Consider the following 12613-nt stretch of genomic DNA (forward strand, 5'->3'; position numbering starts at 1 on the left):
ATTTTAACTTTTTATTATTCAGTATAATGTTAGGTATGGTTGTGTCATATATGGCCTTTATTGGGTTGAAATATGTTTCTTTTTTTCGAGATAGAGTCTTGCTCTGTCACCCAATCTGGAGTGCCGTGGCGTGATCTCGGCTCACTGCCAGCTCCACATCCCGTGTTCACGCCATTCTCCTGCCTCAACCTCCCAAATATCTGGGACTATTAGCCCGCCATCGCGCCCAGCTAATTTTTGTGTATTTTTGGTAGAGATGGGGTTTCACTGTGTTAGCCAGGATGGTCTCGATATCCTGACCTCGTGATTCGCCCATCTCGGCCTCCCAAAGAGCTGGGATTACAGGCGTGAGCCACTGCGCCCAGCTGAAATATGTTTCTTTTATGCCTAGTTTGTTGAGAGTTTTATCATGAAGAAATGTAGAACTTCATAAAATGCTTTTTCTGTATCTATTGAGATGGTCATATGGTTTTTGCCCTTCATTCTGTTCTGTGATGTCTCACATATATTAATTTGTGCGTGTTGAACCATCCTTGTATCTGTGATATAAATTCCATTTGATCATGCTATACTGTCTTTTTGATGTGCAGTTAAAAATAGTTTTCTAGTATTTGGTTGAGGATTTTTGCATCTACGTTCATTAGGGATATTGGCCTACAGTTTTGTTGTTGTTGTTGTGTCCTTGAATGGCTATGGCATCAGGAAGATACTGGCCTCATAGAATGAGTTAGATAGGATTTTCTTCTCTTCATTTTTTTTTTTTTGAAATAGATATAGAAGTACTGTATTAATATTTCTTAGTACATTTGGTAGGATTTGGCCATGCATCTCTCAGGTCCTGGGTTTTTCTTTGTAGGGAGGCTTTTTAATATTTAATCACTCTCACCATTTTTTATTGCTCTGTTCTGATTTTCTATTTATTATTAATTCAGTCTTGGTAGCTTATATGTTTCCATAAACTTATCAATTTTTACATACATTCCAGTTTGTTAGCATATAGTTGTTCTTAATAGTCTCTTATGATCTTTTATCTTTCTGTAGTACCAGTTGTAATGTATCCTTTTTTATTTCTGATTTTGTTTATCTGAATCTTCTCTCTTCTTGGTTAGTCTAGCTAGTGACTTAACAATTTTGTTTATCTTTTCAAATAACCAGCTTTATATTTTATTGTACTGTGTATATTCTTAGGTTTTACTACACTTAGTTCTGCTCTGATCTCTCTTATTACCTTTCTCCACAAATCTGGGGTTTAATTTGTTCTTGTTTCTATTTCCTTGAGTTACAGTGTTAGATTGTTAATTTGTAATTTTTCTGCTCTTTTGATGTAGGCATTTATAGCTGTAAACTTTCCTCTTGGAACCACTTTTGCTGTATCCTATAGCTTTCAGTATATTTTGTTTCAATTTTTCTTTCAAGAATATGTTTTAAACATTTTTATTTAATTTCTTCATTGACCCAGTGGTCATTCAGCATTTTGTTATTTAATTTTCATGCATTTGTATAGTTTCCAGAGTTCCTCTTGGTGTTCATTTTTAGTCTTATTCCTTTGTTGTCTGAGAAGATATTTGATATTATGATTTTAAAAAATTGTTGAGACTTGTGTCGCCTAATATAATAGTCTATCCTGGAGAATGTTGCATGTACTAATGAAAATAATGCATATTCTGCAGTTCTTGGATAAAATGTTCTGTAAATGTCTATTAATTCCATTTAATCTAACATCCAGTTTAAATCAAATGCTCCTTTGTTGATTTTATGTATATAGTGGGAGACTCATGTAATTAATTACAGTGGAAACTATAATTGTGGGATCAACAAAGAAATATGATATGTGGAAGTCTCCCACAATTATAGTTCCCACGATAATTACATAAGTCTCCCACTATAATTTTGGGAGACTTCCACACATTATGATTCTTTGGTACAATGTACCTGAGTAATGTATCACCATAGTGATGTGTGAAAGTCTCCCACTATAATTGTATTGCAGTTTGTCTGTCTCTTTTGATCTATAATAGTAATAGTTGCTTAATAAAGCTGAATGGTCCAGTTTGTTGGGTGCATATATATTTGGAATTGTTATATTCTCTTGATGGATTATTACCTTTGTCATTATGTAATGACCTTCTTTGTCTTACTTTGCTGTTCTTGATTTAAGTCTGTTTTATTCTATATGAGTATAGCTACTCCTTCTCACTTTTAGTTTCTGTTTGCATGGAATAACCTTTTCCATCATTTTCCTTTCAGTTTATATGTATCTTCATTTTAAGGTGAGTTTCTTCTCAGCAGCATGTAAAAGGATTACATTTTTAAATTTATTCAGCCATTCTATATCTTTTAAGTGCAGAATTTAGTCTGTTTACATTCAAGGTTATTATTGATATGTGAGGGTTTGTCCCTGTCATATTGTTGACTGTCTTCTGGTTGTTGTATACATTCTTTCTTTCTTTCTTTTTCTCTTATTGTTTATCATTGTGTTTTGGTAAATTTCTACAGTGGCACTACTGGAATCCTTTTGTTTCCTCCTTTATGTGATTGTCTTACCAGTGAGATTTATGCTTCCATATGTTTTCATGATGGTAAATATCCACCTTTTGCTTACAAGTTTAAGACTCTAAAACATTTCTTGTAGGGCTGACATAGTGGTGAAAAATTCTGTCATCATCTGCTTGTCTGGAAAAGAACATTATTTCTCCTTCATTTATTAAGGTTAATTTTGCTGGATGTATATACTTGCTTGACAGTTTTGTTTTTGTTTTGTTTTGTTTTTCTTTCAGCACTTTGAATGTATCATTCTATTCTCTTCTGGCTTGTAAGGTTTCTGCTGAGAAATTTGCTGGTAGTTTGTCAGGTTTTTCTTTTCAGGTGATTAGGCACTTTTCACTTGCCATGTTTAGGAATCACTTTTTGTTTTTGAATTTAGACAGTGATTATAAAGTTTTCTGGAGGTGACTTTTTTTTACATTGTATTTGCCTGGGGATCATTGAGCCTTCTGTATTCAAATATTAAATCTCTTTTTAGATTTGAGATGTTTTCATCTATTACTTTATTAAATAGCTTCCCTAATCCCTTTATTTTCTCTTCATCCTTGGGGATACTGATAATTTTTACATTTGGTCACTTTATGATGTACCAAATTTTACAAAGGCTTTGCTCATGTTTTAATTCTCCTTTTTTTATTTATGTCTGACTGGATTATTTCAAAAACCTGTCTTCAAGCTCTGAGAGTCTTACTTCTGCTTAATTTAGTTGATTGTAGAAGCTTTCAAATGTATTTTGTATTTCTTTCAATAAATTCTTCATCCCAATAATTTATATTTGATTTTTTTAAATGATCTATTTGGTAAATTTCTCATTTATATCCTTTTTTTATTTTTGTGTTATTTTTTAGCATTCTCTTCTATTTCCTTAGGTTTCCTTATAAGTATTAATTTTTTTCTATTTGAATAGCTTTAGGGCTATAAGTGGTTTTTGATTACTAGATGAATTGTACTGTTGTGAAGTCTAGAATTTTAGTGTACTCACCACCTGAGTAGTGGACATTGTACCCAATAGGTAGTTTCGCATCCCTTATGGCTCTTCCAACCCTTCCCCCTTCTGAGTCTTTTGTTTGTTTGTTTGTTTGTTTTTGAGACAGGGTCTTGCTCTGTTACCCAGGCTGGAGTGCGGTGGCATGATCTCGGCTCACTGCAACATCCGCCTCCTGGGTTCAAGTGATTCTCATGCCTCAGCCTCCTGAGTAGCTGGGACTACAGATATGCACCGCCATGCCCAGCTAAGTTTTGTATTTTTAGTAGAGACGGAATTTCACCATGCTACCCAGGCTGTTCTCGAAATCCTGACCTCAAGTGGTATGTCCACCTTAGGCTCCAAAAGTGCTGGACTTACAGGTGTAAGCCACCATGGCTTCTTCTGAGTCTTTGATGTTCATTTTACCACTCTGTATGTTTTTGTGGACTGATAGCTTAGCTCCCACTTACAAGTGAGAACATGTGGTATTTGTTTTTAGATATCTGAGTTATTTCACTTAGAATAATATTCTTCAGTTCCATACAAGTTGCTGCAAAAATATTGTTTTATACTTTTTTATGGCTGAGTAGTAGTCCATGGTGTTTGTGTGTGTGTGTGTAGTAGCAGTAGTAGTAGTATTCCATGGTGTGTGTGTGTGTGTGTGTGTGTATGCATATATATATAAAATCACATTTTCTTTTTCCACTTATCAGGTTGATTCCATATATTTACAATTGTGTGTTGTGACGTGACTAACATATGCATGCAGGTGTCTTTTTCATAGAGTGACTTCTTTTCTTTTCAGTAGATACCCAGTAATGTGACTGCCAGATTGAATGGTAGATTTAGTTTTAGTTCTTTGCAAAATGTCCATACCATTTTTTTTTTCCATAGAAGTTGTACTAATTTACATTTCCACCAGAAGCATATAAGCATTCCTTTTTCAACACATCCATGCCAATATCTGTCGTTTTTTGACTTTTTAATTATGGTCATTCTGGCTGGGGTAAGGTGATGCCTTGTTGCAGTTTAAATGAGCATTTACCTGATGACTAGTGATGTTGAACATTTTTTCATATGTTTGTCAGCCGTTTGTATATCTTCTTTGAGAAATATCTATTCATGTTTCTTGCCTACTTTTTAATGAGATTATTATTTTCTATTGAGTTTTTTCAGTTTCTTGTAAATTCTAGATATTAGTCCTATACAGGAGCATAATTTGGAAACATTTTTTCCCATTCTATAGGTCATATGCTCACTCTTATGATTTTTTTGCAGTGCAGAAGCTTTTTAGTTTAAGTCCCATTCATTTATTTTTGTTTTTGTTTCATTTGTTTTTAGGGGCTTACTCATAAATTCCTTGCATACACCAATGCCCAGAAGTTTTTTTTTCTTCTTCTTCTCGTAGAATTTGTATACGTTCAGGTCTTAAATCTAAGTCATTAATCCATCTTGAGTTAGTTTTTGCATATGGTGAGAAATAGGGATCCAGTTTTATTCTTCTATATGTGGCTATCCAGTTTTCCTAGCATCATTTATTAAGTAGGGTGTCCTTTTCCCAATGTGTACTTTTGTATGCTTTGTTAAAGATCAGTTGGTTGTAACTATTGGGCTCTATTTCTGGGTTCTCTATTCTGTTCCGTTGGTCATTGTGTCACCTTTTATACCAGCACCATGCTGTTTTGGTTATTGTAGCCTCATAGTATAATGTGAAGTCAGGTAATATGATGCCTACAGATATTCTTTTTGCTTAGGATTGCTTTGGCTATTTGGGCTCTTTCTTGGTTCCATATAAATGGTAGGATTTTTTTTAATTCTATGTAATATGATGCTGGTGTTTTGATATGAATCGCATTGAATCTGTAGATTGCTTTGAGCAGTAAGGTCACTTTAATGACCATTTTGGTTCTTCTGATCCATAAGCATGGGAATATTTTCATTTCTTTGTATTATCTATTATTTCTTTCAGCAGTCCCACCCCCCAACAGGCCCCCATGTGTGATGTTCCCCGCCCTGTGTCCAAGTGTTCTCATTGTTTGGAATTGAGTTCTTGATTAAATTCTCAGCTTTGTCATTGTTGGTGTATAGCAGTGCTACTGATTTGTGTACCTTGATTTCATAATCTTAAAATCGGTATTTATAATTCTTGATTTGAGATATTATTAATTTATTTTTTTATTGTGATTTCTTGCTGGAGATTTGTTGTTCCTTTGTTTGTGTCATATTTTCTGGCTTTTTCATGTTTCCTGTGTCTTTATGTTGGTATTGTGCGTATGGTGTAACAGTTGCTTCATATAATTCTTTGAAATTGTTTTCACAGGAGAGGATTTTTTCTTTAAGTTGTATATATATTGCTATTTGTGTAGGGTGCTTGGATGTGATTTTGGGTGCCTCAGTAGCACGACCTCTGTATGATTTTTTTCAGCATTACACAGCATCAGTGGTATCTGTGATTTCCTTGGTTATTTAGGGTGCAGTTATTAGTGGAGGCTGTGATGATGTTTCCTGGAGACTAATATGCCAGCACGGTCAGTCTTTGGTTCCAGAGGTAGTAGTCATTGGCTATGTATGCCTGTTTTTTGGCCCCAGACCGACTTACGCTGGCATTGTGTTAGTAGGTCCTAGAGGGTCAATTCTTGGGCCTTCAGGTGGCTGGTTTGGATGTTCATAGAGGGAGTGGTGGGCTGAGTATGTTGGTGGGTTCTCAGGCTTCTGTGCAGTTTGTGTGTTGTGAGTGTTGGCAGTAGTGGTAGTGGAACAACCTACCTGAACCCAGGCAGTCCGTGCTGATGTTGGTGGTTAATGCAACAGTTTGAGCAAGTCATTACCCTGGCAGGCTGGTAGCACATGTGGGTGGCTATCAGCTGTGGTGGTGTCAGTAGGTTGGGTTGGCTTGACTTCAGATCTCAGTAGGAGTGATCGGATGCCAACAGTGGAGAAATGGGCTGGGCAATTCCTAGGCCTCTGATGGCATACTTGAGTCCTGAGCGGATGAAACTGGACCAGCAGACATATCCTGAGGTCCCTTGGCAGTCTGTTCAGGCACCATTTATGATAGGCAGAGATGGTCATCCCCAGGCCGCCTTTGGAATGCTCAGGTATGTGCCGTGGTGGCTATGCTATGGACCTACTACCAGGGAGGGCAGGGCCCCTGTCAGCTGGAGCAGTGTGAGAAAGTAGCTGAGGGAGTGCAGTCTGCTCATTCCTAGGTTTCACAGCAGCCTGTAGCAGGGCACTGGTATTTGTCCAAGGGGTGTGTGGGAATGCCTGTTTCCCCTCTCTTCCTTGACCTAGTCGCTGGCAGTGACAAAAGCCATGTCAGTCTGGCCTTATGGCAGGACATAGACCTCCAGGAGCTAGGCTCTCAGAATGGTGCCAAGCCAAAGCTGCTCCTGGCTCAGATTCCTGTGGGACTCCGCATGAGTTCCCTTTCTGGGGCAATGTCTCTGTGCAATCTCTAGGCAGCTCCTTATGTTAGTCCCAAGGATCATTCAGTGATTTTTAATAGATGATTCTGGATATTTTATTATCTATTTATATTTTAATATGTCACTTTGTATTTGACTAATTTTACTTTGATATTTTTTATTTTAGAGAATATTTATTAATATATCCAGAGATATTAATTTTCTATAGAAAATTACTACCAGATTTAGACACATGTCAGCTTAGCACAGTTTGTAATCCTTTCTTTGTGTTTGAATTTGTCTAAAATGTGGAAGAGCTAATATTTTTAAATGCAGGGCAGATGGTAGGTCACACAATAAGAAACCGAGAATATTAAAGCAGAAGCAATGAAGAAGTTAATTATTGGCCACTTACATCCAACAGTAAGCTTTTATAATCAGATAGTAACAAAAATGTTAAGTATATACAAATGGAAGTTTTGAGATAAATTATAAATTATTAGAAATATTTTAAAAGAAATTATAAGCAGTCGTGTAGAGCAAAGCAATTTGGATATCTAATCAGTAGAGTAAGTAATGGTGGTGCAGAAGGATAGGAATACATGAATGGTCAAGTCTGAGTAATTTAAAATTTTAATTAGCAATATTCCTGGTAGTGACAACATCTAGTTTGCCCTTGGTGATAAAAATCACCTGCTTGCTTTGCCTCACTTTCTCTGATTGTCAATAGGTAATACCAGTTATGCTTTGAAAATTTATAGAAAAAGCATTGTTCATCATCTAAAAAACTTTTATACATATATTGATGACTACAAGCTATGAACAGTTAAAGCTCTAAATTGTATAAATCAAGATTTTCCCCATAGAAAATTGATTAAAATTTAATTTATGCAGGCTTTACTAACATCATGATTGTCCATCTCTTCTTTTCTAATGTGTTTCCTATAAATAAGCATAATATATAACTTAATTATAAATATGTATATATATGCATTGGGCCAATAGGTAAATGAAGTATAGTCATTGGAATATCAATACTGTATTTCTAAATATAAGTTAGCAGATTTTTTTTCAGGTCACAGGGCCCAAAATTTGAGAGTACCTTACTATACCCGCCCAACTAGAGATAACCAGTATTTTCACAGCTATGGTAACTGTTCACTCTTACTTTTACAACCTAGGTATGCATTGGTAAGTATTAATTTTTTTCTCTATTTGTACTTAATAAAAATTGATTTAATCTTTGTGTCATATTTTTTGGTCATGGCTCTTTTCATTTCCATCTTATGTTTTTATAATTCATTCATGTTTTTATATGCATAAAAAGTTTCACGCGCGTCCGTGTGAAGAGACCACCAAACAGGCTGTGTGTGAGCAATAAAGCTTTTTAATCACCTGGGTGCGGGCGGGCTGAGTCCGAAAAGAGAGTCAGCGAAGGGAGATAAGGGTGGGACTGTTTTATAGGATTTGGGTAGATAAAGGAAAATTATGGTCAAAAGGGATTTGTTCTCTGGCGGGCAGGAGTGGGGGTCGCAAGGTGCTCAGTGGGGGAGCTTTTTGAGCCAGGATGAGCCAGGAAAAGGACTTTCACAAGATAATGTCATCACTTAAGACAAGGACCGGCCATTTTCACTTCTTTTATGGTGGAATGTCATCAATTAAGGCAAGGACCGGCCATATTCACTTCTTTTGTGGTGGAATATCATCAGTTAAGGTGGGGCAGGGCATTTTCACTTCTTTTGTGATTCTTCAGTTACTTCAGGCCACCTGGGCGTATACGTGCAAGTCACAGGGGATGCACTGGCTTGGCTTGGGCTCAGAGGCCTGACAAAAAGTAATAAGACTAATTAGCTAATATATCTTATTTCTTTGTAGAATAGCTTTGTAAGCAAAAACTCAAAACAGAAAAAGTAAAACTGTGGTTGCTCTTGGTAGCTGGATGAGGTGGTGCTGGGTTTTCCCTCTACATTAATCTTCCAAACCAGAGTATAGTCTACTTCTACATACTAGCTGGCTTACACAGCCTAAATGTCCTTTTTCTCTTTTTGTTATTCTTTGAGGATGAATGCCATATTCTAGGGCTTATACTGCCAGCTGGCTTCTATAACTCACTGGCAAGAATGAACATCATGTACTGTAAGTCTAGAAATAGACTTTGAAGTCAGTGTCCTCACTCTGGAGGGCAAATATCAAAGCTGATTTGGTTGGCAATCCAGAAATATAAAATTCTACCATGGTTACCACATAGGAGTGAATTCTATTCTATTTGATGTCTATTATCTCCTCATTTGGTCTGGAAGGAAAAGAAGAAGTTCAGCGATAAATATTATTAGTATAAAGTATTTTAAAATTTGTAAAAACTTGAGGTAAAATTTTTTAAAAAAAGGATTTCATATCTTCCCTCTCATTAGTCGCTAGGTATTTACAGTATTGATGAAGTAAGTAAGTGACCTACAAGGTTAAAACAAAGGTTTAAAGTTAATAGTTAAGTAAAAAAGGTTATTTTCTGTCATGAGAAAACCCATACTATTAATATTTCTGGATCAATATTGTAAACATAATAATATGATATAGTTCATGTATTTAAATTTTCAGATAAGTATGAACATTAGGCATGTGTACATAAGGTACATTTATGTTCAGATACAGATACATGTATCTGAATTGAGGAGAGAATATAATTCTAAATTTTCCCTGAATTGTTTTCTGATTTTGCTTTACATCTCTTTATTTCACATTTCAAAAGGAGAAATCCCATTAAATGTAATTCTGGCTTCCACAAGTATGTGGTAAGATTTTTTATTCCTGTTTAGCTTAATGTGTTTAATTAAGTAAAACACGAAAAAAAATCAGCTATCAAAAATGAGGCAAAAACATGCAATTAAAATAACGTTGCTCGGCAATATTTATTTTAAAATATGTTGCCTTGAAAAATATTGTTAAGTTTGAGATCAAAAAACACTTCTAAATCTTGAATTACATCTACTCATGTTTAAACTGTATTTTATATATTTTTATAATGTTTCATTAAGGTATTAGCATTATTTTATTATTTCATTTGTCTCTACCCACATATAGAATACAAATAAAGTTATCAAGGTGTTATTAATTTATCATTTACAAAGGGCTTTCTTATATACATATTTCTCCTTTTATTTCAAACAGCTTACCATTCTCCCTTTACCACTCTTTCTAGTCAACTTTTCTCTTTTCTCCTAAATGACTTACCATTCTCCCATTACCACTCTTTCTAGTCAACTTTACAGTTTGTCTAGGATCAAATGAGATTTTTTTTCATTTGATCCAGGGTGTTCATAAATGATTGAAACCTCCAAGAATGTGGCATATAGCTTTCTCAGCTGCGTCTGCAATGATTGTATGAAAATATCATTCTGTTCTCATTGTTATTGATGTGGTCATTGTTGCCAATCAGGAGAGAATTATTAGATTCATAATGATCCTAATCTTCTGAGCCTTCAAGAGACTTTAAAAATCTTTATTTATTCTCTTCTTATTCACTGTGACATTTCCTCACTGGTTATCATTTTTAAAAAAGTGCAATAAAGTTCTAAGCAGAGTCTTTTCCAAGCCTCTATTTTCTTAAGAAAAAGAAACACATTTCAGCCTAAAACCCAGAAATTTCTGACAAAAACTAATACCCTGGCTTGAGCTTTAACTAGAGGAAATAGCCTCCTTAGAGAAAATTGAAAGTTTAAGCACATTCAGATAGGATTAATAAAAAGTTGCATTAAGTGCTACAGCTAGTTATAATTTTCACATAAAGTACTTTCATTTGATTATCATCTTGATTTCGTATAAAATGAACATATTATCATTGTCACCATATATTAAATGAGTATACAAGGCCCTCAGTTACTGTAGTTTGCACAAAGACAGTGACTGGTGAAAATGAAACTCCAAAGGCATATAAACAGAGCAAAAGACAGAGGGAATATTTGAGATTCTAAGGTTGTCTTCCTACCAATGGAAGAACCATATATTAAAGGAGTCAGGAATCTCATATTGAAATAACAGAAGCCACAGATGTTTTAACTCAATCAAGAAAATGCCGTATGTCTGTTGCAATGGAATATATGGAAATTTACCTTTATATGCACACTTTGCTTCCTTGAAGTAACAATGCTTGTTGGTTGCTACAGCTGTCACAAAAAAGCTTGCCAGAAGATCCAGGAGTTTTCAGAGCTTTAATACTTCTTTTAAGAGAAAAATGTACAATAATAGAGAGGACATAGTGGCTTGTTGGCATAAAAAGTCACAGCACAGTACCATCTATCTTGTGGTCCCTAACGTCAGGAATAGGACACCTCCTTAGGACTAAATCTAAATCTATGGCTCTGGCTTAGAATGATAAAGGAATGATCTAAGAGGTGACAGCCACAAAAGAAAATATCTCTATATTACAGAATTGAAGAATTCCAGATTTATCCACAATAGCTAATAATGTCTGGAAAACTCTTAGGCTAGCAAATGAAGAAGAAAAAAATCAAGCTGGCCACAGATGTCCAGAATATGCACCTTCATTTATTGTGCAGTCACGTAAGAGGAATGATCTCTCCAGAAGGTACAATATGAATGATTAAAGCTCTCTTTAATGCTCCAAACTACTTCCAGAGCTCAGTGGGAACTGTATTCTGTACTTCTGAATAAAAATTGAGTAAATATAAGTGCATAATTTTTTCTTGTTAGACCACATCCTTAAATTTTTTCTATATTTTTTATCAAATAAAGGATCACTATTTTCTTTTTTCTCCCAAATATTATGGATACTATATCTATATAATTTAAGACAACAAGAGTACCCAAGTTTTATTATTGTATAAAATAATTTCACCTACTCTAAATATAGGATGAATTGTCTTTCATCTCTTCAGAGAAAGGTAAAAAAAATTTTCTTTGTTAATTTAAATATATATTTAGCTAAGTGAATTCTATTGACTTTTTCTGTGTTGGCATCAAAGTGAAGAAGAAATTGTTGGGTATGGATGGACCTTAAAGCACATCTTTGAAAGTAAGAGAGTTAATCTCTTTTCTAGCTGATGGAGAACAGAAAAATAAAAAATGGTGCCTCCAGATAATTGGAAGTAATATGGAAGCTGATTATGGAAGGTTTCAGAAAATAGAAAAAGCCAGTGGATATTTGGGATTATAGTCTTATCATGAAACCAAATAATGATATCTGGGAGTGAGGGCAAGAAATTTAAAAAAAAAAGAAAAGAATTTGATTATGAATATAAAAATCTGCTATCCTAGTTATGAAGTTTTTCTCAATTATAGCAAGTTTCTTTACTTGAATATTATTTGCTTGGCAAAGCCATAATTCAGAATAGAAACTCAATAAATAACTTTGGGGAGAAAAAAGGAGGGAAATCAAGAAAGTGAAAGTGAGCGAGACAGAAAAGAAATAAAATAAAACCCCTTAACTGCTGAGCATCCCAAAATTTTTTTGTGTTTTCTTGACCCAGAATTATCCCTGATACCTTTCTGTTATTTCTCCTCACTATATCCTTCCTTGAGTAATACAGAAACAATTTTGCATTCTATCCCCATCTTCCTCCACTTACATATTTCCCTCTTTTTGCAAAACACTGCAAGTTGGAAAATTTAGTGAAGAATAAACTCTTGTCTATGCTTGACCAGTTCTAAGTCAGCAGCCACTGATAGACTTGATGGCATT

The 12613-nt window shown here is 34.8% G+C and overlaps 3 annotated features.

Moving 5' to 3' along the window:
* Nucleotides 5966-6466: an enhancer, noted in NCBI's record as "H3K27ac hESC enhancer chr9:12438630-12439130 (GRCh37/hg19 assembly coordinates)". NCBI's record gives its function as "activates a minimal SCP1, AML or CMV promoter by ChIP-STARR-seq in naive H9 embryonic stem cells {active_cell/tissue: H9 hESC(naive)}" and the evidence as "EXISTENCE:reporter gene assay evidence [ECO:0000049][PMID:30033119]".
* Nucleotides 6467-6967: an enhancer, noted in NCBI's record as "H3K27ac hESC enhancer chr9:12439131-12439631 (GRCh37/hg19 assembly coordinates)". NCBI's record gives its function as "activates a minimal SCP1, AML or CMV promoter by ChIP-STARR-seq in naive H9 embryonic stem cells {active_cell/tissue: H9 hESC(naive)}" and the evidence as "EXISTENCE:reporter gene assay evidence [ECO:0000049][PMID:30033119]".
* Nucleotides 8182-8964: an enhancer, noted in NCBI's record as "OCT4-NANOG hESC enhancer chr9:12440846-12441628 (GRCh37/hg19 assembly coordinates)". NCBI's record gives its function as "activates a minimal SCP1, AML or CMV promoter by ChIP-STARR-seq in naive and primed H9 embryonic stem cells {active_cell/tissue: H9 hESC(naive and primed)}" and the evidence as "EXISTENCE:reporter gene assay evidence [ECO:0000049][PMID:30033119]".

The sequence above is a fragment of the Homo sapiens genome, chromosome 9 (assembly GCF_000001405.40).
Source record: "Homo sapiens chromosome 9, GRCh38.p14 Primary Assembly".
NCBI classification, from domain to species: Eukaryota; Metazoa; Chordata; class Mammalia; order Primates; family Hominidae; genus Homo; species Homo sapiens.